Source organism: Homo sapiens, chromosome 7 (genome assembly GCF_000001405.40).
Source record: "Homo sapiens chromosome 7, GRCh38.p14 Primary Assembly".
Classification (NCBI taxonomy): Eukaryota; Metazoa; Chordata; class Mammalia; order Primates; family Hominidae; genus Homo; species Homo sapiens.
In genome coordinates this window covers 141,673,519-141,698,798 of record NC_000007.14, presented here as the reverse complement: position 1 = coordinate 141,698,798, position 25,280 = coordinate 141,673,519, and the positions used below count along the sequence as shown (strand labels likewise).

The 25,280-nt window shown below is 40.9% G+C and overlaps 1 protein-coding gene across 1 annotated transcript in view, besides 2 other annotated features; it reads left to right on the top strand.

Moving 5' to 3' along the window:
• Positions 1-25,280, top strand: part of DENND11 (DENN domain containing 11) — a 45,439-nt gene that overhangs the window by 3,368 nt on the left and 16,791 nt on the right. The window contains exons 2-4 of the mRNA NM_001080392.2: positions 12,141-12,240; positions 13,163-13,321; positions 24,579-24,732. Coding sequence (NP_001073861.1) covers positions 12,141-12,240; positions 13,163-13,321; positions 24,579-24,732 — 413 coding nt within the window. The remainder of the gene's footprint in view (positions 1-12,140; positions 12,241-13,162; positions 13,322-24,578; positions 24,733-25,280) is intronic.
• Positions 6,472-6,981: an enhancer, noted in NCBI's record as "H3K27ac-H3K4me1 hESC enhancer chr7:141391618-141392127 (GRCh37/hg19 assembly coordinates)". NCBI's record gives its function as "activates a minimal SCP1, AML or CMV promoter by ChIP-STARR-seq in primed H9 embryonic stem cells {active_cell/tissue: H9 hESC(primed)}" and the evidence as "EXISTENCE:reporter gene assay evidence [ECO:0000049][PMID:30033119]".
• Positions 23,053-24,032: an enhancer, noted in NCBI's record as "H3K27ac hESC enhancer chr7:141374567-141375546 (GRCh37/hg19 assembly coordinates)". NCBI's record gives its function as "activates a minimal SCP1, AML or CMV promoter by ChIP-STARR-seq in naive H9 embryonic stem cells {active_cell/tissue: H9 hESC(naive)}" and the evidence as "EXISTENCE:reporter gene assay evidence [ECO:0000049][PMID:30033119]".

Below are 25,280 nucleotides of genomic sequence, written 5' to 3'. Positions count from 1 at the left end.
ATTCATTAGGTAGTAGAGTAAGAGGGAAAAGGAGGGGTGGATCCTTGTTAGAAAGGGTGTGTGTGTGTGTGTTTGAGCAGGAATATATGCAGTGATTCTCTAAGGTGTGGAAATAAGAGTAATCCTTTTGCACTTTTAGATACAAGTTTTGGAAAGCTAGGCTGGCCATCTGTGGGAAGAATCAGAGAAAGAGTCTTAAAGCTTATTTCCATCAGACTCATGGATTGAAAATTATGGTTGCTGAGTCTACAGGTGACTTAAGAACTAGGGGCTTCAGGTTCAAAGTGAGGCTTACACATACACTCAGTCCTCATCTGGAGCAGGGGGCCCTAGGATGGTGGTGCTGATCATCTGGGCCACAAAGCTGCTATTGAAACCAGACCCAGATGCTAACTCTGCAAGCTGGGTGGAAGATGTTGGAAGCCAGAATATTGCTGTTTCATTTTGTTCAACCCCATGATTTAGAGCCTTGATTTTAATTTTACTTCATTATTTGGGCTTCTAGTAAAATGTTCTTAGTCTGCTTAATTAAAGGAGAGGATATTGTCACACTTGGGGAGCACCCCTGCCCCCAGATGGTGGCAAGAGCGGTATCACCGTGTGGCTGAGGACTTGTGTGTGGGCAGGATGGAGGCCGATGAAGCTTTGAACATACAATGTCTGGACATCTTTGCATCTGCCTCATTAGACTGTTTCTTTATAAGAGATTCACTTTACACTGCTGCGTTTAGAGTTTTATTGTGGGTGTCTGGGAGAAATTCCTGTGCTCCCTGTGTTTGTACTGGGGCAGCTTGCAAGAGGAGGGGTAAGGTGAGAGGCAGATCACCTGCTGAGGTTTTCAAGATGTTTCTCCCTTTCTTCTTGGGAATGAATTTCTACCTGTTCCTCAGCCTCTAGCCAGTGCCCAGATTACATCTAAACACCTATTTAATTTAATGTATCCGAGCGCTTCTATGTTTATGTCACATGAGTACATTTAAAATCACACACACTAATTTTAATCTCTGTAGATTCCCTGTATAGTCTATGAAACATAAGCATTTTTTTTTTAAACAATGGAGATGATGGAGGCCCAGTGAGAATAGGGCTAGGTCTGGTGTCTGAGGCACCACTTGGAGCGCTGCCCAGGTCATCTGACTCGTGGCAAATAATAAATGGCTCTAGCAATGGGTGGGAAAGTGACAAAGTAGAATGTGAATGGAAAATTTGGAGGACAATTTTAAGATGCAAAGAGCAGTCGTAAGCATGGACAGCTCAAATGCAGGCAAAGAAAAAGCCTGTTCTGATATCCGGCCAGAACGTCTCGCAGGAAGAGAAACTCTGTCATGTCGCCATCCTTCCCCTGTATTTCCACCTAATGCCAGTGGAATACAATTGTGGTTCATTTGCTTAATCCCACCCGGGTAGAATCTTTCCCAGGCTGTTGGTGATTCACCTGCTTGTGGTTTTCAGGGAGAAATCAGTTTGTAGCCATCTGCTGTGAAGTCAGTTTCTTCTCTTGAAAATTGAGGAGGGGAAAATAAAAATGGTAATTGTAATACCCACCACCTCCTGAGTGCCTGCTGTGTGCCAAGGACTGTGCCACATGTTTCAGTGACCTGCCTCTGATCCTCCCAACAGACTACACCATCATCATGAGAAAAACAGGTGCACAGAGCCATTAAGTTGTCTAAAGTTAGGGCCAGAGCCCAAGTCTACCTGCACCCCTTATCCACACCACACTACCACCCAGTGGAGAATGATATGGGATCTGTGAAATGGAAGGTCTTTCTTTGTAAAGTGAATGCATTGGAATTCAGCCATGGATTGGCATATAGCTGACTTTAAATCAGCAGGATTAGCTTCTTCCTGACTCAGGATTCTTTATCCTGATGCTTTTCTCTTTGCTTTGGATGTGCTCTCAGACTAGGTGGTTTTAAGACTGTTTCAAACCATGTAAGACCCAAAGTCAACTCACCTGGGTTATTTACTTTTCTGATGTTAGGGTCTGAACCAAATACTCTTTGGAGGTTTCCACCTGTGGGATCTGATGGCCCCTTTAGGTGGTTATGTGAAGGGAATGTATTGTTGGGACCTAGAATACTCTTTGATTCATGCCTTTATTCCTGAAACAGGATTTGTTTTGACTTCCTGATTACAATCAGGGCATATGTATACACAGATGGGAAGAGAACCGTGGAAAGAGTAAAACCTCAGGCACGTGCTGGGGTGGGAGTTCCACTCCTGAGGTCAGAGGAGCTGGAAGAGGATCTCCAGCTGAGGCAGTCTCTGGATAGGAAATGAAGAGCTCAGGAGGAAGTGCTTGCTTGGGAACCATCTAACAGAGGAGGAAGAAGAAATTCACATATTTCCTATTAAAAAGAGATTGTTTTGGTTCAAGATCATTGCTTTCTCTATTTTAAATATTTTGAGGTGAACTTTCTAGCAGACAGCAGTTACTGCAGTTAATGTCCAATCTCCCTAGGAAATAGTGATGAATTTTAAGACAGCTGGGGGTTTGGTCATTTCTCATTTAAACAGAACTAGTTTTGGAAGACAGAGGCAGTGGTCAACCTAGATAGGACAGCCTACCTCTGGCCTAGCCCATGGGCTTATAAAACCCCAGCTCTGGGAGGCCCTGGTGCACAGAGCTGTCAGGCTGACCTTTGGAGCTGTGAAGTGGCAGGGTTCAGACCATCTGTACATCCTCAGCCAGGCGCGACACTGACCTTCTGGCTTTGCCTGGGTAACTGAGCTGCCAGCCTCGTAGTCGGTTAGTCCAAGTTCCTTTAAACAGAGACATATTTGCCTTTGCATGAGCTCAGCACCTGGCAGGCACCGTGCTGCCAAGTTGTGCTCCACCAATATTTGTTCAATGACCAGCTGAATGTACACAATGCATATTGCCACATTTGTGCCTCCCGTGGTCATGTGAATCCCTCCTCAGAAGTTGTCTTTGCAGTAGAGGCTAGGAAGTGCCTGTAAGTACCTGTAATAGGTCCAAGTCATGGTCCAAGATGAGAAAGGACACAGAGATGGAAAGAGAGCAAGTTAGGGGAGAAAAAGGCACTTGTCACTGGCACCTCCTCTCTTTGATGGACTAGCCATGAGATGACCTCTTTTGTTGAATCTTCCAGGCCCCAGCTCCCTGGCTGAGTTCTTAATACAGTGAGGATATCTGGAAAACCTAAAAGCATGGAATGTGAAGACTGAGCCTGGGATAAGTAGCAGTCAGGATGAGTTTCTTTCTGGTATTAAATGGCATCCCATAAGGATTACTAATTATGCAAAATCACTTTCCATTAAGTCTCCTCAAATTCCATATGTAAGCTGGTTTTCATTTGTAATGTTTCTGTAGGATAACTTCAAGCCCTGATAGCGCTTCATTCCCTATTAGTGTGGTGCATTGCCTCAATTATTTTTGGCTTTTGCAAAGTCCTTTATGCTCTCCTTTTTTTCACATTGCTATTATTTCAATTATTTTCCCCAATTTGTAAGTTGAAATGTTTTGAAAAGTTGAAAGAATAGTGCAGTGAAAACCTGTATGTCTTTCACTTAGAGTCCCCGTTTATTGACATTTTGCCCCATTTGCTTTATTCTTACATAGTCATATCCCCTATAACATGAAATATATGTTCCAAAAATCACTGTGCGGCAAAAAAAAATCATGAAGTAAAAATCACAGGGCTTATGAGAAAAACTTTGTCAGTGGCACATTTTTTTTAAAAAAAAGATAGGAACCTACCAAAAACTATAGGACAGTTTTGCATATGATAAATGGTTAAGAAATACATACTTAGTAAATGTGGAACTGTACCTTTAAAAGACCTGGTGTTTGTATCTGGAGGTGAGTGCTGAAAGGATTGAGCCTGTGAATTACTATGTGTGGTGGGAGGGGGGCTGTCTGAAATCAGAGGCAAAACTGTGACGCTAGAGGTGCATGGCATGGCCCAGAACGAGGTGACCTGAGGTAGCAGGAGAAGCTTAAGGTGGGTGTGTTTTGTATATTCCGACATGGCTTGATTCAGCTGGGTGTAGTTTTCCACATTGACTTTGTGTTTTTCATGATTGAAATCACACATAAGCAAATGTCAAATTCCCTAATACATTGATTGCTTTGGAACAGATTCAACAAGCATTATAGCAGAACTGACTGTGTGTGGAGATATAAATAGACTTTTCTTTTTTTTGCTGAACTATTTGAAAGTAAGTTGTGGATGTCATGGCATTTCATTTCTAAATTTTTCAGTATGGGCTGGGCGTGAATACATATACTAACGCCTGTAATACCAACACTTTGGAAGACAGAGGTGGAAGGATTTCTTGAGGCCAGGAGTTCAAGACCAGCCTGGGCAACATGGCGAGACCTCATCTCTATAAAAATTTAAAAAATTAGCCCGGCATGGTGGCGCATACCTGTAGTCCCAGCTGTTTGGGAGGTTGAGATGGGCGGATCATTTGAGCCCTGGAGTTAGAGGTTATAGTGAGCTATGATTGGGCCACTGCACTCCAGCCTGGGCAATCCTGTCTCTTAATAAAATAAAATAAAATACTTCAGTATAAATCTCCTAAGAATAAGGCTATTTTTCTACATCACCATAGTATCATTGCCACTCTTAGGGCAGTTAATTTAGGTTAATTCATCAATTAGGTTTTTTTAAATAATTAATGTATTTTATTTTTTAGAGCAATTTTAGTTTTACAGAAAAATTGAGCAGAAAGTACAGAGTTCCCATATACTACCTCCCCCTCACTCATACACATATAATTTCCCTTTATTAACATCTTTCATTAGTGTGGTATATTTGTTATAATTGATGAACTAATATTGATACATTATTGTTTATTTAAATCCATAGTTTGCATTAAGGTTCACTGTTGTACAGTTCAATGGGTTTTGAAACATGCACGATGTTATGTATCCACCATAACAGTATCATACAGAATAGTTTCACTGCCCTAAAGATCCTATGCTTGACCTATTCATCCCTCCCTTCCTATTGATCTTTTTATTGTCTCTATAATTTTGCCTTTCCCAGAATGTCACATAGTTGAAATCATATAGTATGTAGCCTTTTCAGGCTGGCTTCTCTTATTTAGCTACATGCATTTAAAGTTCCTCCATGTCTCTTCATGGCTTGATAGCTCATTTTTCTGTATTGCTATAGAGTATTTCCTTGTATGGATATCTCACGTTTTATTTATCCATTCACCTATGAAGGACATCATGGTTGTTTTCCAGTTTTGGGCCATTGTGAATAAAGCTGCTGCAAACATCTGTGTGCAGGTTTTGTGTGGATGTAAGTTTTCAGCTCATTTGGATAAATACAAAGGTGCATCGTTGCTGGGTCATTTGATAATAACATGTTAGTTTTGTAAAAAACTGCCAAACTGTCTTTCAAAGTGGTTGTGCCATTTTATATTCCCACCAGCAATGAATTCCTGCTGTCCCACATCCTCATCAGCATTTGGTGTTTTGAATGTTAGCCATTCTGATATGTGTGTCATGATATCTCATTGTTATTTTAATTTGCAATTGCGTAATGAGCATATGAAAAAATAGTCAACATCATGTCATTTGCCATCTGTGTATCTTCCTTGATCAGTTGTCTGTTCAGATCTTTTACCCTTTTAAAAAGTTGGATTGTTTTCTTATTGTTGAGTTTTATGAATTCTTCGTATATTTTAGATAACAGTCCTTTATCAGATATGTGTTTTGCAAATATCTTCTCTCAGTCTGTGGCTTGTCTTTTCGTTCCCTTAATAGTGTCTCTCATAGATCAGAAGTTTTAAATTTTAATGAAGTCCAATATATCCATTTTTCCTTCATGAATTGTGCTGTTAGTATTATATCTAGAAACTCATTGCTAAACCCAAAGTCACCCAGATTTTTCTCCTGTGTTATCTTCTAGAAATTTTATAATTCTGCATTTTACATTTTGGTTTACATATTTTAAAAAATTATTATTATTTTAGAGACAGGGTCTCACTCTTTTGCCTGGGTTGGGATGCAGTGGAGTGAGCACAGCTCCTTGTAGCCTTGAACTCCTGGGCTCAAGTGATCCTCCCACCCCAGCCTCCCAGGTAGCTAGCACGACAGGCACACACCACCATGCCTGGCTAATTTTTTTTTTTAATTTTTTGTAGAGACAGGGTCTCGCTATGTTGCCTAGGCTAGCTACTTTCCATATTGAATAAATTTTTGTGAAAGGGGTAAAGTAGGTGTCTAGTTTCATTGCTTTGCATGTAGATGTCCACTTGTTTCAGCACCATTTATTGTAAAGACTGTCTTTTCTCCATTATATTGCCTTTGTTCCTTTGGCAAAGATTATGTGATTGATTTGTGTGGGTCTGTTTCAAGGCTCTCTATTCTGTTCCATTAATCTATTTGTCTGATATTTCACCAATACCTACTCTCTTGATTAATTTTATATAAGTCTCGAAGTTGGGTGCATTGTTCGTCTTCCAATTTTATTGTTCTTCAGTATTATGTTGGCTATTTGGGGTCTCTTGCCTTTCCATGTAAGCTTTGGAATTAACTTGTCGATATCCGCAAAATAATTTGCTGGGATTTTGATTGGGATTGCATTGAGTCTATAGCATAAGTGAATATGAAATTCCCTGTGCTCAAATTGCTCTCAAGTACATCTGTTGCATTGACACAAATCCAGTAAGTGATAAAAGTAGAACTGACTATATACAGATATGGATATGCCTTTTTTTCCTGAACCATTTGAAAGTAAGTCACAGATATGATAATATGTCACTCCTAAACGTTTGAGTATAAACCTTCTAAGGATAAGAACATTTTCCTATGTAACTACAATATTATTACTATTGCTAAGGTAATTAACACTAATTCATCAGTTTTTTTAAACACATGCGTGCCCTTAATAAATCTGTTTTTTTTTAAATACCCATTCTGTCCTGTGCAAGGCATGATACTATATAGAAATGTGAAGACAAGGAAAATTCTCACCTTGTAAAAGTTAACAGACTCCTGCAGAGACAGACGTCAAAGACATGATTATCATATGTAGAGATAAGGGCCATAGTAGCTCTACCTACTTCCCTTTCATTCAAGGAGTTGTCAGCAGGAATGTGCTTGCCATGGGATAAGGATACCTCTCCCCAGAGTGGTGTTCTGGAGCCTGTGCCCTGTTCTTTGATTTGCCAGCCTCTAATGGACCTTTCTTCCCAACCCAGATGGGCTTATGTCCACCTAGGAGTGAAGGATGTAACTAACAGTATGTCATTCGCTCCCTCTGTTCCTTTCCATTTCTGTGCAATTAGATTTGGTAGGCACAGAGGAGCAAGGAAGAGGGTTTGAGAACCAGGCTAAGGAATGGGGACTTTATCTTCTAGGTCAGCTGTACTAAGTAGGACATAGGCTGGACATGAATACTAGAAGCCCAAATCAACAGTGGCATAATCAAGATAGGAGTCTATTTCTTTTTCATGTAACGATCAGGTGATAGCAGCCTGGGGCTAGAATACTGGCCCAAATCTCCAGGGTCATCCAGGGACCTAGACCCACGTTGACCAATGGCTCCAGCATCCCCTCTGTGATACGATGCTACATCCACATTCCAGGTAGCAGGGTGGAGAAAGGGGCAATGTGCTCCTTGCCTTTCAGGCACCTTCTGGAAGTGATGCACCTCATTTCTGTCCACATGACACTGACCAGAATTCACTCATGAAGGTACTGAGAAACATAGCCTTCATTTGGAAGGCCATGCACCAAGCTAAAAATAACAGGTTCTGATTCATATAAGAAGAGAAGAGTGGATATGGAAGGACAGCTTGCACACCTGATATACCTGTATTTCTTTTTTTTTTTAAAAAGTGCCTTCTATAAAATTAGTCTCTTAAGATACTCCTTTTAAAAAGATTTAAGATACTCCTTTAAAAAAGATAATTTGGGGAAACATTAAGCACTGTATTGATCTCACGGAGATTCACGATGCAGAGTGGCATATTAAAGGCTCTGAGAAGTACTTCAATAAAGGAATGTGTCTAGCTTTGTTTAAGCTAAGATAATTTGGCCAAAAACACACACATTTCACAAAATTTTGTTTTCTTTTTTGCAGAAGCCCTATTAACCTAAGCTTGGGAAATACTACTTTGGGAATCATTGAAAGTGTCTTAGTTTGCAGTGACGCAAACATTTTTAAAGCAATTCTATTCCTAGGGATGTAGTCAGTAGAAATGTGCATATTGTGTTGGTCAAAGTTCAATCAGAGGAACCGAAAAACTAGGAGATACATAAAGGAATTTGTTGCAGGGATTTGGTTTTATGCAACTGTGGGAGCTGTTAGACAATCTATATAAGGCTGTTCTTTGTATCTGATGTTGGAGTTTGAAGTCTACTGGGCAGACAGTTATGAAGGAAGAGAGTAAACTTCTGAACAAGAGGAGGAGGAGGAGGAAAAGGAAGAGTAAGAAGCTGAAACTCATGAAGATAGGTGGGAACGCGGATCAGGCTGTTACTGTATCCAGCTTTGGTGATGTGGGTGTCCTAAGGAGAAGCCGATGCCCTTTATTATGGAACTAAACATACACCTGGCTTAGGAGTCAGAGAAACTGAAGGAAGATCAAGGGATGGTGGCTGCAGCATCATCAGGGCTGGCTGCTGCCCCTCACCACTCTAGTAAGCCTGCAGAGAAGCAGCTATGCAGTGGACCTTCTGCACTGACCTTACAGATGCAAACATAACGTGGCTACTGATTCACTTCCAAATCTCAGCTGGAAACATACAAAGAAGGGAATTCTGAGAAGGATAGTTCAGCCCAACCAGGTCAATGCATTACAATGCCACTTTACGCTATTTCAGCAGATGGCAAATACAGGATTGTTTACAGCAGTGCCCGTTGCTGTAACTTCAAATTGGAAGTAACCTAAATGTGCATCACCAGTTAAGCAGGTAAACTGCTACATGCATATGATAGAAGTAATAGATGAACAAACTGTTGCTACACATATCAGCATGGATGACATAAAAGACATAAAAGCAAACTATAATTACATTTTGTAGAAACTCAGAAGAGGCTAAGCTAATTCATGAGAGAGGGTTAATGACTTGGAGCTGCTATGAGGGAGGTTTCTGTTGTACAAATAATGTTCTTTCAGCTTCTTGATCTGGGTGCTACTTACACAAATATGTTTACTTTGGGAAAATCCATTGAGTTGTACTTTGTGCACTTTTTTTAAAAGTTTAAGTTCCAGGATACATGTGCAGGATGTGCAGGTTTGTTACATAGGTAAACATGTGCCATGGTGGTTTGCTGCACCTCTCAACCCATCACCTAGGTATTAAGCCCTGCATGTGTTAGCTATTTATTCTGATGCTTTTTCTTCCCCTTCCCTGCTGACAGGACCTGGTGTGTGTTGTTCCCTTCCCTGTGTCCATGTGTTCTCATTGTTCAGCTCCCACTTATGAGTGAGAACATGCTGTGTTTGGGTTTCTGTTCCCATGTTAGTTTGCTGAGGATAATGGCTTCCAGCTCCATCCATGTCCCTGCAAAGGACATGATCTCATTCCTTTTTATGGCTGCATAGTATTCTACGGTGTATATGTACCGCATTTTCTTTATCCGGTCTACCATTGATAGGCATTTGGGTTGATTCCATGTCTTTGCTATTGTGAATAGTGCTGCAATAAACATCTTTGCACTTTTCTATACTTATGCTATACTTCAATATAACATTTGGGTAAATAAAGTTTTAAGACACTGAGTAGTCATGGGCAGGCTGGGTTGGAGGAAAGAAGCTAAATTTGAGCTAGCTGAACCCCGTAATGTGTGGCGTGTGGGTAAACAAGGCAGTAAGTATTAGAAGAAGCAGGTTGGTTGAGTATGAGGAGGACAGAGCCTATCGAGGGTCATTGTAGCTCTGTCCCAGACAGTCCCTTTCCTCTGCTGACCATATACTGCCACTGTTAAGCGTTAGGAGCGTGTATACAGAGGCCCAAGCAGGGGCTCTTATTGCTGGCATGCATCAGCAGAATCACCCTGTGGCAGGGCAGGGAAGATGGTGATTCTATAGACCTAGGGTAGCCCCTGGCACCTTTTAAAGCTCCCTAGCTGTCCTGATGCATTCCACAGGAAAAAAACGACTGGACTGTGAAGGTAATAGACATGGATGGTAGGGGAAAATATAGGAAAGCGTGGGGGAACTTGGTGCTTAAAAAACTCGTCTTATCCCCAAGGTCACCCCTCTTTCTTTCTGAGTGCTTTTTCTTATCTTTGACCCTGACAAACATAACATTGTTCGAGGCTTTCTGCTTTATGAACTCTTAATTCCTTTTTCATGCTTTTCACTTTAGTGAATTGACTAAATGATCAGAATCATAATTCCTCTTTTGAAAATAAACTATTTGAAAGTGACTTGGGCTGTTGAGTGTGAGATTCGACAATGCTCTATGATATCTACCATGTCCTGAGACTAGATTGTGTATTCCCTGATGCCCTGAACAATTATCTGAAAGCGTTGTTTGGCTGGGATCATTGATGGTTTTTCTAATGCCTAGCAAATTAGGATTTGGAGTGTTAATAAGAAGTTTGTTCTGAAATGAAATCTCACAAATAGCTTAGTGTTTTGCTTTAAACCCTTTTGAATATGCATGAAAACAACAGGGAGTATTCTATAGTGTTCTCTCAAGACTCTAGATAACACTGCTATTGTGTAGTTCCCTGATTCCCGCAGCCCGAGGCATGCTTGTACTTTTAAAATCCTACTTTGGCCTAGAGCGGTGGCTCACACCTGTAATCCCAACACTTTGGGAGGCCGAGGCAGGTGGATCACCTGAGGTCAGGAGTTGAAGACCAGCCTGGGCAACTTGGTGAAACCCCATCTCTACTAAAAATACAAAAAAAATAGCTGGGCATGGCCGGGTGCGGTGGCTCACGCCTGTAATCCCAGCACTTTGGGAGGCTGAGGTGGGCGGATCACAAGGTCAGGAGATTGAGACCATCCTGGCTAACATGGTGAAACCCCGTCTCCACTAAAAATACAAAAAATTAGCCGGGCCTGGTGGCAGGTGCCTGTAGTCCCAGCTACTGGGGAGGCTGAGGCGGGAGAATGGCATGAACCTGGGAGGCGGAGCTTGCATTGAGCCGAGATCGCGCCACTGCACTCCAGCCTGGGTGACAAGAGCAAGACTCTGTCTCAAAAAAAAAAAAAAAAAAAATTAGCCGAGTGTGCTGGTATGCGCCTGTAATCCCAGCTACGTGGGAGGCTGAGGCAGGAGAATCGCCTTGAACCTGGGAGGTGGAGCTTGCAGTGACCCGAGATTGTGCCACTGCACTCCAGCCTGGGCGACAAAGTGAAACTCAGTCTCGAGAAAAAAAAAAAAAAATCGCACCTTATCCTCTGTCATAACATTGATCCCACTGCACTGTAACTGCTGATCTCCTCTAGCTCTCCTCATTTCTCTCTGGAATCTAATCTCACTGAGGTCAGGGACTTTGTATCTCCAGCATCTAGCTCAGGAGAAACTGAATAATCAATGATGAGTGAATGAGTCCCAAAATTCTGGAAGCAAATATCATTGTCCCTTGAAGAAGGACCTCACTTAGAGAGGAGAGAGAGAGGAGGGGAAACAGAGTTACATTGGTCAGAGAGGTAGGAAAAGCACTAAAATAGTATTCTATCATGAAAATCCAGGAAAAAGAGGAGAAATGTTTGAGGAATTAGCAAATGCTACCTAGAGGTAAACGAGAATGAGAATTTAAAAAATGTTTTGGGATTTTTTCCCAGTCATTAGTGGCTATAGATAGAATCAAGATCTCAAGGGATTAAGGGGAGAACACAAGATAAGGAAATGAGGGTGGAAGGTTAAAAAAACATGCAGAGAAGTGAGGCTACAAAAAGCAGATTTGGAAGTGGTTGAGCAGAATGACAGAAGCAAACGCAGCATCCTCATGAGGGAGGAGAACAGTGTTTGAGGGCAGAAATGGGAGGTTCTTTTAGTGTCCACCTCCACGTCCTCCGGCGTCACCCCTGCCAGTGATGGAGGGGCTGAGCTCTGAGCATCTCGCTGGTCTGTCTGAGGCTGAGTCAGCAGTCGGTTTATTGAAAAGCCATGTGTGCTAAGCCCTGTACTAACCCATTTTCTTTGAATGATGTTGTTTCTTTTAACTTGCATCTTCCTTTTCCTGCAGGAAACATGGTAGAATGGTGCTTACCTCAAGATATTGACCTTGAAGGTGTTGAGTTCAAGTCTATGGCCAGTGGGTCCCATAAAATCCAATCTGATTTCATGTAAGTACTTCTGAACTGGAGTCATCTTCGTACCATTCCCCCCACCTCCACACTTTCCCCAAAGCTGAAGGGCTCTTATTAGGAGGTCTTCGTGTGCTGTGTGTAAATGCCTTGAAAATACATGGATAGTTTTGTGTTTACATCATTTTTCTAGTGAGATGTCTAGCTTTCATCAGATTCTCAATGGGCTTCATGACCTGCAAATCTTAAGAATCCCTGCCTGTAGAGGTTCTCTCACTTTCTCAGAAATTACATGGACCTCACTTGAGGTTTGGTTTTAATGAAAGTGCACAGTTTCAGCCCCGTGTGAGTTAACTGAGGATATCTATGTGTTCAACCTTGAAATTTCAGCTTTAAGTAAGGCCATTTTTTAGTCCTGTGTAGTGGGGCATTCAGAGAGTTTTGCGAGAAGGAACAATGGAAAGAGCTTAAGGGTAATGAAGTGGCTTTAATCTCCTCATGGGGCTTAATTCATGATTGATACAAGTGTGAGAAGAGGAGGAAATAAAATGGCAGCTCAGTGAAAAATATCAGAGCCTCAGGAAGTAAGGGAAGAATCACTGTGGTTTATGCTACGAAAGAGAGTCCAAGTTCCAGAGGAGCCTGAAGAGGAATGTTGGTTCTGCTTCACCCATCCAAGTCATTAGTCGTGGTGCAGGAGAGAAGAGATGTGTCCATGATTGTGGGCAGCTGAGCGGCAGGCTTGCCACGGACTAAGTCCCAGCTCCAGCCAAGTGACCCTTGGCAAGTTATGTAATCTCTTCAAGCTCATCAGTGAGGTCATGTGGCTTGGCCCGCTTGTTTTCTTGAGGCTGAGCTTTGTCATTGACAGCCCCGAACACAGTTCATTTGTTTTGTTTAGGATTGCATCTCAAAATTCCTCTCTGATCTTGAGCCACACTACGTATTTGGTCTCTTCTAGCTATTTCCGAAAGGGGCCCTTCTTCGGCCTGGCCTGCTTTGCCAACATGCCCGTGGAGAGCGAGCTGGAACGTGGCGCGCGGATGAAGTCTGTGGGCATCCTCTCTCCCTCCTACACACTGCTTTACCGCTACATGCACTTCTTGGAGAACCAGGTTCGGTACGTGGCTTCCGTACATGTGCAGGGAGGCAGCAGGATCCACCAGCTGGTGCATATGGCACGAGCCCTCGGAGACAGCATTTGCGTGCCAGAGCAGCAGATGTCTTTCCAAGAACATCCATGGCGATGTTTCACGCCTCGGGTGGTGTCCTTTCGTTTCAGCCAACGTCCTGCATGATGAGTCTTCACTCTATAATGAAAGCTGGGGTATATTCTGCCTTCAGTTTGGATTTAATACTACCATCACTTTTTAAAATTAAGTCATTTTTTGACAGGTACATGATCTTTGTTTATGCAAAGCCGCAATAGTTACCTCCTTGCCCCAAGTAGGCAAAGAAATCCTAAACTTTCTTAAAGCCTACTTCTTTTATTATTGGGATTCTTACTATGATTGGGATAATAGAAAGAGAACTTAAAAATATATATATATATATATATATATATATATTTTTTTTTTTTTTTTTTGGTAGAGACAGGCTCTTACTATATTGCCCAGGCTGGTCCTGAACTCCTGCAGTCAAGTGATCCTCCTGCCTCAGCCTGCCAAAGAGCTGAGATTATAGGCATGAGCCAAGGTGCCTGGCATAGGAAGAGAATTTTTAACAGAAGCAGCAAAACGATTAGTTACTTTACATTTTTTTCATCATGCAGGTAACCTAATTACATTTCAGATTTTGAGGGGAAAATTTATCCCTAATCCCTGAAGCACTGACAAAATGTTACCACTTCTTTTCTGTGTATGTGTGTACGTTTAAAATATATATTTGGCATCATACAATATATATCCTCTTTTATAGTCTATACTTTTAAAATTTATCACTACGTAAACATTTTTATGCAACATAATTGTGATCTTCAGCTTTGAACCCATGAACTTGTTTGTGGAAAACACGTTTATTATTTAAAAATTTATATGAAAGTACAGAGGATTTTTAAAAATCCTCTCATATATTAACACTCACAGATATCCATTGACAATATTCCATGAATGCAATTCTAGAATACAAATATCTTTACAAAAATAGGATTAATATTTTATGAATTTAATTTTCTCAAATAGCAGGCTGTGTTAATGAAATATATTAAACATAATTTGACTTATAACTTCAAGTAAATGTTTTTTCACAGTAAGATATACTATTCCTTGAAATATTCCTCCAAAATTAAGAAAAACAATTATGAAAAACGTGACAATATGGTGTCAGTACTTTACTGGGAAACAATATATAAACATTAAAATTGATCAGGAATGGTGGCTCACGCCTGTAATCCCAGCACTTTAGGAGGCCAAGGAGGATCAATTTAGGAGGATCAGTTGAAGCCAGGAATTCAAGACCAGCCTGGGCAACAAAGCAAGATTCCAACTCTACAAAAACAAAAAAATTAGCCAGGCATGGTGGTGTGCACCTGTAGTCCTAGCTACTTAGGAGGCTGAGGTGAGAGGATGGCTTGAGCCCAGAAGTTCAATGCTGCAGTGAGCTATGATTGCACCACTGCACACCAGCCTGAGTGATAGAGCAAGACCCTGTTTAAAAAATAAAAAAATAAAAATCCTTAATGGTTGAATTTTACCATCAAGCACTTTTCTTTCTTTGAAAGGATCTTGCATGATTAATACTATTGGCCTGTTCCCTTTATCCTCAGCTGGTTGTACAATTCTTGAATGCTTTCTTCTTCCCCTGAGGATGCTATAGATATTGTTCTACTGTTATCTGAAATTAGTCGTTTTGGAGAAGTTTCTCCATCCAGATACCTATAGAGTCTGTCTTTGTCTGTGCTGTTTCTGAACTTGCCAAATGTTTTGTTTTGTTTTGTTGTTGTTGTTTTTGTTTGTTGAGATGGAGTCTCACTCTGTCGCCCAGGCTGGAGGGCAGTGGTGTGATCTTGGCTCACTGCAACCTCCGCCTCCTGGGTTCAAGCAATTCTCCTGCCTCAGCCTCCTGAGTAGCTGGGATTACAGGGGCCCGCCACCACAGCCGGCTAATTTATTTATTTTTTTTTAGTAGAGACGGGGTTTCACCATGTTGGTCAGGCTAGTCTCGAACTCCTGACCTCGTGATCTGCCCACCTCGGCCTCCCAGAGTTCTGGGATTACCGGCATGAGCCACTGAGCCTGGCCTGAACTTGCCAAATATTTATTAGTTCATATCAGTATGTTCTGGGATAGTTTGTCCCCTTTGCTCAATAGATAGTTCTTTTATTTTTAATTTTAGGAACTTTTTCTTCTTTAATAAAATATTTAACTTTTGCATTCTGTTTTTTTCTTCTCCAGGAATACCCATGATGCATATGTTTTTCTCCCATTGTCTTCCCTGTTTGTCATTTTGATGCTTATTTTAATAGCTCTTCAATGCTGGAGCTGTCCTATACATTTACTTGGTTATTCTCTGTGGCTGAACATGCAGCATGTTTCTATTTACTGTTTATTTTTTTAGCTGCTCCTCTACCTTTTGGAGCTGTGGAAAATACATTTGCACATATGTCTTTTTCTGTACTCAAAATATTTCCTCAGTTTTTTTTTTTTTTGTCTCAGAAGTAATATTATGAAGTTCTAAAAAAGACCATTTTATTGGGATTTTGACACTTTTAAAACAATATTATTCCTTTTAAAAAGCTAATTCTCCAAGTAGGCAATACAGTTTCATGGTTCAAAATCCAAAAATTTTAAGGTGGTATTATATTGGATAGGGTCCTGGCTAAAAGGCAAGAACAGAGGCCCAAAATTACTATGGCCGGATTACGATAAAAGATTATTGCTCATGTCATAGCGTAGAGGTAGGCAGGTGGTCAAGTTGGGTAGCCTGCTCTGTTCCATACAATTGTTCAGGGACCCACATTCATCTCTTGTTATTCCACCGTATCCTAAGAATGGTTTTGTATTGTAAGGTGCTCTTTCCCAAATGTTAAAAGCTGCTCACTACTATTATGTTTGCATTTCAGCCCATAGGGAAGAAGGAAAGACTAGAATTTACATATCTCACTTCTCATATTCCATTGTCAAGTCCTCAATCACAGAGACACACCCAACAGCAAAGTAGCCTGGGAAGCATCACTACTAGGTGGGTGACCCTGTGACCAGTTAGAACTCTGGGGCATTGGTTACAAACAGGAAGAAGGGAAGACTTGACTTTGAGAAAAAGTTAGCAGCTTCTGCTTCAGTTTGCCCCTCTGGCCACTCAGGTATCCATGTATACTCTTCTTCCCCCTTGTAGAGGCCATTCCTCCCACCCCAAAGGAGACATCACAGAGTCTCATTCAGTTCATGCTTCCAGTCTAAAATCTAGGATTTCTCTGTAGTGCGCAGTAGTCCTTTACGTTAGGCCAGGGCATGGTTCTTCTTACCCTGAAAACTTATAAAAGAATAGACAAGTCCCTCTACTCCCTACCTCCCAAATGCAATATAGGAGGTAAAGTAGGAACCACAATACAAGCTTCTGTTTGGAAAAGGGAAGAATGAGAAATACGGATGGTCACTAGTTCATAACAACAGTGAAATTCTGCTGAGCAAGAATTGCAGAGTCAGTATGCTCTTGGCTCAACTTTGGTTCTGTTGTGTAGAATCCCTTGTCCATTGTCCTCCATGGCACTTGGCTTTGTCTTCTAGAAGATTCTTTCTTCATTTTCCTCCATAACCACATCTACAGTGGGCATTGGAGAACATGCCTTTCTTGAGGCTGTACAGCTTTAGAACACCTTTCCTGCTGGTATAGATTTGGAGGTCTAGTGGTTTCTTAAGGGGTCAAGAAGTCACAGGCTTTTATAAGCCAAGCATGTGACAATACATGTCTCTCAAAAACTAAATTGACTTCTCGTTTGTTTGCTTCCAGTCAGTTCCAGGTAAAATATCCATGGCCAAAGATCTTCTTTGGGTCATTGTTTTTAATTAGCAGACTAGATTATAGTTACTGGCCTCTCTTTTTGGCCCATCCCTTTCTCCCTCATTTTCATAATAACTTCCTTGAGGTGATTCCCTAAATCTGATCTTTGTAAATAAGCTGACTCCCTTGTCTGCCCAAGAATACTAAACTGGAGACTTTCATAGATGCCCTGAGAGAGACTCCTGTCTCCTGCTTTTGGTGTACAGTAGCATTGGCTTTTCCAGCCCTGTGGGGTCCCAAATTGTTGGAATCTCAGTGGATTTATATTGCCAAATTTAGAACACATGACCCTTAGTAGGCTGTATTTTATTCCGTTTTTCCTTGCAAACCAGCCAGTTCTTGTTTGTTTTTATCTTATTCTTACAGTAGCTCACTAAAAGCATACAAGGGGCAGTCAACACACACCAGCATTCTACTGCCAACTGCTTCCCATAAAGCTACAAATTCAGATGACACAGGGTCTCCCAAGTTATTGAAGTTTTAGCAGATGTTTTGCTACAAGTGTAACAAGGGTTGCCAGCTTTCTAGTCTGCAATATCTATTTTCTCACCACCCTCCCCTTCCAGCAACAAAGCCAGTGTCTCTATATGGTTTTTGATACTGTAGTAACTCATTTCCAGGTATCGTTTTTGGCTTTTAGAGTATAGGCTAAGTTGCTATAATGAAGAAGAGACCCCCAATACAGTGACACAGTAAGATAGAATTACAGCTTTTCCAGCATGGCAGTCGTAGTAGTTCATTGTGGGTAGGTGGTTCTGTTCCACTGGTCATTCTTGGACCTGAGTCATTCAGTCTTACATTATGTCATTTTCTAGAGTTGTTGTCCTCATCCACATGGTAGAAGCTGTCTCCCCATTACATTGTCATTTTCTAGCATGTAGGAAGAGGGAAAGACCTTGGCTCCATGGAATGTGAGCAGAGGTGCTGTGTTCAACTTCTGGGATCTGGAACTTGAGTGATCTGGAAGTTGAACACACCACCTCTGTTCACATTCCATTGACCAGTTCTTGGTTACTAGGCACACATAGTAGCAAGGCAATCTGGGAAATGTGGCCTTTAGCTGGGCGTCCGTGTGTCCATCTAAAATTTGGAAGGTTCTGTTACTAAAGGAAGAAGAGTATGGCAGACTACCACTCACATAAAGTGAAAAATCTTCACCCAGTTCCCATATCCATCCAAATAATCTCAGTAATCACAGTTCATTTCTCATGTATCATCCCAAAGTGTGTGTGTGTGTATATATACAAATACAAATGTATATTCTTACTGTCTCCCTTTTCTTGCAAAAGATAGCATGTTATTTGTGTTGTTTTGCACCTAGCCTTTTTCATTCAACAGCATGAAAGATCTCATATCAGTAGGTTGAGAGTTTCTTCCTTGTTTTCAGCTGTGTCATATGCCTTCTATAGAATTATAGCATTTATCAAGTTCATTATTAATAGACATTTGGTTGTTTCCAGTCCATTTCCTGCTACAAATGATGCTGCATTGAATATCATGCATTTCACACGTGAGGGGTATATCTGTATATTAAATTGTCAGAAATGAAATTGATGGCTCAAAGGATATATGTATGTAATTTTAATAGATTCTGTCAAATTGCTTCCCATAGAGGTTGTGCCATTTGCATGCCCAGTAGTAATGCAAGAGAATGCCTGTTTCACCTCAACGTTGCCAACACAAAATGAAAGTTTGAACATTCTAACCTGATGGATAAAAGAACAGTACATCAGTATAGTTTTAATTTGTATTTTTCTTATAAGTGAGGTTAAGCACCTTTATGTATGTTTGAGTCATTTGTATTTCTTTTTCTGTGAACCATTTCTAGCCTTTGCTACATTTTGTTGTTTACCTTTTCTTATTAATTTCTTTTACTTTTTTTTTTTTTTTTTAAAGTTTCGCTCTTGTGTCCCAGGCTGGAGTGCAATGGTGTGATCTCAGCTCATTGCAACCTCCGCCTCCCAGGTTCAAGCGATTCTCCTGCCTCAGCCTCCAGAGTAGCTGGGATTACAGGCATGTGTCACCACGCCTGGCTAATTCTGTATTTTTAGTAGAGGTGGGGTTTCTCCATGTTGGTCAGAGTGGTCTCTAACTCCCGACCTTGGGTGATCTACCCGCCTCAGCCTCCCAAAGTGCTGGGATTACAGGCATGAGCCACCACACCCAGCCTTTTCTTATTAATTTCTAGGAGTTTGTACAATAGGGAAATTTTTTCTTTGTTTCTTTGTATAAATTGAAAATATTTTACCACTTTTTCATTTGTCTTTTAACATTGCCTTCTTGTCATGTAGGTGTTTTTCTTTGAATTCATGCATCTTTTTATGGCTTCTAGATTTTGAGTCATAGCTAGAAAGGTTTTGCAGCTTGGTGGTTAAAGAGGGCTATAGGTAACATAAGAGAAGAGACTTGTATGACAGAGTATGAGGAAAAGAAAGAAGCACAGTTAGATAAGCTTAGGTCTAGCTTAGGATAATACTTGAATACAGCAGCAACTTTTACATAAATTCACTAGTCTTCATTTCTGCAACACTTAATCTGTGTTTTATATTTCTTCTGACTTCTGATGTTCCAAACCTATTTACTTGTATTTCATCTACAATTTTTGCCCTCAGTATCTCTCTAAAGAGTCTTTTTAATGATTATTTCTTAATCAGAAGATATTGGAGAACTATTTCATAATTTAAAAAATTAAATTAGAGGCAAGAGGGACTGTTATTGAATAAAGGGACCTACGACTCATAACCACATTTTACCTTGCTCAGATCTCAATTCAAACAAACCAACGGTAAAATAGCATTTGGGGGACAGTGGCTGTATTTTGAATGTGGACTAGATATTTATATTAAGGCATTATTATTGTTAAATGAGATAATGGCATGGTGATTATGTGTTACGTTATTTAAACAGACTTTATCAGTTAGAGATGCCTTACAAAGCACTTATCAATGAAATGTTATGAGGTGGGATTTTCTTTAAGACATTCTAGGAAAAAAGTGGTAATGGTAGGGTATAGGGTATAGATATAACCATATGGATCAAATATTATTGAAGCTAGATGATAAATACATGGGGTTCATTCTCTTCTTTCTACATTTTGTGTATATGTTTGAAAATGTTCATAGTGAAAAGTTTAAAATGACTAAGTATAAAATTAAGAAATAGTTATTATAGGAAACTTTAAAAAATAGAGAAAAGCTCAAAGAAAAAAATGATCTCACCAGCCAGACATATCTACTGTTAACATTTCGTTTTATACCATTCTAGTCTTTTCCCATGTGCAAATATATATTATACATACACGTTTTATTTTATTTTATTTCTTTTAAAAAGGATTATTGGCCGGGCGCAGTGGCTCACGCCTGTAATCCTAGCACTTTGGGAGGCCGAGGCAGGCAGATTGCCTGAGCTCAGGAGTTCGAGACCAGCCTGAGCAACAACGGTGAAACCCCGTCTCTACTAAAATACAAAAACTTAGCTGGGCGTGGCAGTGTGCACCTGTAGTCCCAGCTACTCGGGAAGCTGAGGCAGGAGAATCGCTTGAACCCAGAGGTGGAGGTTGCGGTGAGCTGAGATTGCACCACTGCACTCCAGCCTGGGCAACAGAGCGAGACTCCATTTCCAAAAGAAAAAAAAAAAAAGATTATTGAGGTCATTCAGTATGTAAATTTTGTAACTTGGTATATTAACCTTTCCGGTGTATCATGAATTATGTCCTCAACATTATTGTGGTTTCACAGCATTTCAGTATATAGATACATCACAATTTATTTAACTGTTTCACTGTTATTGGGCTTTTAGGGTGTTCCTTGTTTTTTTCACCCCTGTGAACATCAGCATCCTTGTGAGTAAATGACTGTTCATGTCTAGAAATAGTTCTTTAGGCCTCACTCCGAGAAGGAGAATCATTAGATCAGAGGATGTGTACAATGTACAATTTAATACAAGCTGTAAGTTACCCTTCAGAAGGTGGTGTCACAGTATCCCTGCACCCGCAGTAAATGGGAGTGCTTAGTTTTCTGCATTTGCAAAGCCAGGAGCTAGAAGACGATTTGTTCAGACAGATATATATATATATATACATATATATATATATATACACACACACACACACATATAAATATATATAAATATATATACACATATGTAAATACACACACACACACACATATATATGTGTATATATATATATATATATATTTTTTTTTTTTTGAGACAAGAGTCTCGCTCTGTCACCCAGGCTGGATGCAATGGCGTGATCTCTCTCGGTTCACTGCAACCTCCGCCTCCTGGGTTCAAGCAATTCTCGTGCCTCAGCCTCCCGAGTAGCTGGGATATTTATTAGAGACAGGTTTCACCATGTTGGCCAGGCTGGTCTCGAACTTCTGGCCCCAAGCGATCCGCCCACCTCAGCCTCCCAAAGTGCTGGGATTACAGGCGTGAGCCACCACGCCCGGCCTGTTCAGACCAATAATTAACACACCAGAGTGATGAAGTGTAATTGTCGCACAAAGGCATCTCTGATTCTGATCGTGGATGAATTATTGCCAGTGTGGTAGGGACAGGCAGGGTCAGTTGCACTGGGCATCTGCATGGCCACATATGGCTGTGTTTTATCAGTGAAGGAGCTGTGGGCTTAAGGAGAATCCCAGTGTCTCTGGCCCAGCAGCCTATGGCTTCTGATTAATAATATATATTGAGCCGGTTATTCTCTAGTTTTTACAGTGTCACGGCTCTTGGACAGTTTCCATAGGTGGTTTGGCATGCATTTCGGTGTGGTGGTTTCTCAATTTCTGCATTCTTGTAGGTAAGTTCACCAGGAAGGGCTGCTTTGACATCATCTTTGAAGACTAACTTATCATCCAGCACTCTGAGCCTTGTGTCAGTACTTTTTGGTTTTTCTTGATATTGTAGTTTGACAATCTTGTTTGTTGCAAAATCTGTAGTGTGTTTAAATTTTGAGTCTTTCATACAGCAGTTGCTTAACATTCATCCAGGAACTGCCAATTTGTATTTTTGTCTATGTTCAGATTCCATATTATTGCCTTGTTCTGTCCCATCAGTCAGTAATATCTGAGGCAATCAAAGGACAGAATCCTCATATTAGTTCTTTGTCTAAAGGACTCTAACTTTTGTACTGAACTTTTCTTTAGAATCGTGGTTCAAGTATAGAGTTTAATGTAGTCAAACAGAAAAGACAACTGAGCAGCAAATCAGCAAACAATAAACCTAGAAAATGAAAAAATATTTCCCTTGACACAGCCCCCTTTAACACAGAAAATGTAGTATTAAAAATATAATAAAATGATTCTCAGTATTCTTTTTAGGGAAATTTGATACTAATGAAACAACTTTGAATGAAAAAATATAAATTACCCTTGACACAGCCCCCTATAACACAGAAAATGTAGTATTAAAATATGATAAAATGATTCTCAGTGTTCTTTTTAGGGAAATTCCATCCTAATAAAAACACCTTTGAACATAATTGCCTTTGTATGATTTTCTGTGAATCAGACTTTCGTCAGTTTGACAAACTTCCCTAAAAAGTATCTGAAATCTGCCATCTTCTCAGAATAGTCAGACACAGCTTAGACCATGGGTTTCCTGTCTAGCTCATGAACATTTGTAAAAGTGAACTAAGTGACTACAAGCAACCTCCTCCCAACTAGTTATTTGTTATAGGAGGACTATATTTGTTATAGTAGGACTACCTCCTTGTCAAAACTTAAAATGCATAGGAGCCCTGAAATTGGCGCTATCATCCATCTTACATTAGTAATCATTATATGAATATAGTGATGATTTTTTTCCTTTTTAAAATATAAATTTGTCTGAAGGTCTCTTGTCATCACTTTGACATAAGAGCTGTAAATCACTCTGGAGTAGAGATGGTTGGAGAATAGAAGGCTATAGTTGGTTGATGAAAATCTTGACTCAACAGTTTGTGTCATAGTTTGGGGTAAGCCACCGTGGCAGTTTGCAGAGGCGGTGTGGCAGCGGGGAGTGCCTATTTTTAATCACTGCTGTTCCAGGGCCAACCATAATTAGGGATGTTTCCCTTGCTCAGTGAAGCTATATTTTGCTTTTTGTTCATTGATTGATGGAAATTGTAGGACACTGAGAAAATAAAGATGGGCTAAGAGGGTTTTGTCGCTTTTTATTCCTCCCTCAATTAGGGCTTTTCCGGGGCTGCATAACAAAGTGCCAAAACTGAGTGGCTTAAAACAGCAGAAACATACTGTCTCACTGTTCTAGAGGCTGGAAGCCCAAAGTCAAGGTCTCAGCAGTGTGAGTTCCCTCTGGGGCTATGCAGGAGAATCCGTTCCAGGACTCTCCCTGAGCTGCTGGTGGATGCTGGCAATCTTTGGGGTTCCTTGGCTTGTAGATGCATCATCCCAGTCTCTGTCGTCACGTTCACCTGCTGTTTGCTGTATGTGTGTGTCTATGTGTCCAAAAGTCCCCTTTCTATAAGGACAGCATTCATACTGGACCAGGGCCCACTCCAGTAACTTCATTTTAACTTGATTACCTATGTAAAGATGCTATCCAAAAAAGTCCCATTCTGAGTGAGGTGCTGGGGCCCCATCTTTTTTGTGGGGACAAAATTCAACCTATAACATCCCCATTAAATATAGTGACAAACAGTCCTCACAGTGCTCCTGCGCTCCACTGGGGGGCAGGATTCTCCACTGTTGAAATGGCCCAGGGCTTCGGTGCTGCCTTCTGGGTTCTGGGGTCTGGGGTTGGCCAGCAGGGCCAGCCACAGCCAGGCTCTGTGACCCGAGCTGGTGGAGCGGGCAGAGAAGAGATTCTGATGCTTTTTATTTCTTTATTATTATACTTGATGCAGAAATTATGAGCCCTGATGACATCCAATAATAATTGTTTTCCCTTATTTGAGACATTTGGGGTAAGCTCCGTATTCTTCCATAACAACAAAGCAAGCAGGCAAGCGTGAGTTCTCTAAACAAAGAGCGGCTTTAAGCAGGGAATTTTAGGCTTCCAAGCTGGCCCTTCTCACAGGAAGCAGCCATTCTCTGGGAAGTGGCACCCAGTCTCCGGCGTACCTTGCTCAAGAACAATAGACATTAGTCATAGTCTGTTAATTCTGTCTGTTTCCCATGAGAAAAAGAATGTGTTCCATGGTGTTGTCAGGGAGTTTCAGGCCCATGTTTGAACTTTTCCTAAGGATCTTCTGTAACATCAAAGGAGGTGACCTAAGCAACCTCCAAATGGGGATCTTTGGAGTATGTCAGGGCCTTTGCCCCTGAGTGTTACAGCCCCTTGAGGTGGGCGGAGGGTAGGAGTGGTAGCAGAGCTGTGACCAGGGCTGTTCTCACTGTGTGTGTGTGTGTGTGTGTGTGTGTGTTTTTCTGCAGGCACCAGTTGGAGATGCCAGGACATTACTCTCATCTGGCTGCCTTCTATGAGGACAAAAAGGGGGTGCTCCATGCTGGTCCCGGCAGAGGCAGCAGCCTGCCCCCTGTCTACTGGCTGCCTTCCATCCACCGATACATGTACCCTGAGATGAAGGTGAGGTTAGCCCTGCTTTTCTTACACTATACTGGATCTGTATCTGGGAATAGTAGCTGTTGATTACTTTTTAATGAATAAAAAATTTATGTCTTTGGATCATACAAAATGTCTACTTTTGATAGAACAGAGTTGCAACATAAGCATTTGGTTTTTTTAAAACATAAGGCAAGTTATCTTAAACAATATGCTTTCTAGACACTTCTGTAATCATAGTATAAAGGCGTGTGTGATAGGCCAGTTGTGAAAAGATAGATTTAATTCTGTTGATTGCTTCTGATATTTTAACACTAGACATTTGAACTAAAGATGAAGAGTCTGATGAAGAAGTATGACATTTCTTAGTTAAGACACTTCTGATGTTACTTCGTTCTGTATTTGTTCCTGAAGTACTTTGGCTTTGGTACTAGAATATGCCTATTTACAGTTAGCAAAACACCCAGCAAAGCGTTAGGTGTTGGAAGGGTGCAAATATGACTAAGAACATGAATCTCCTCTTTCTCTTCCCTCTCTGTCTCCTGTGGTTGGTCACAGGATATTTCCATGGA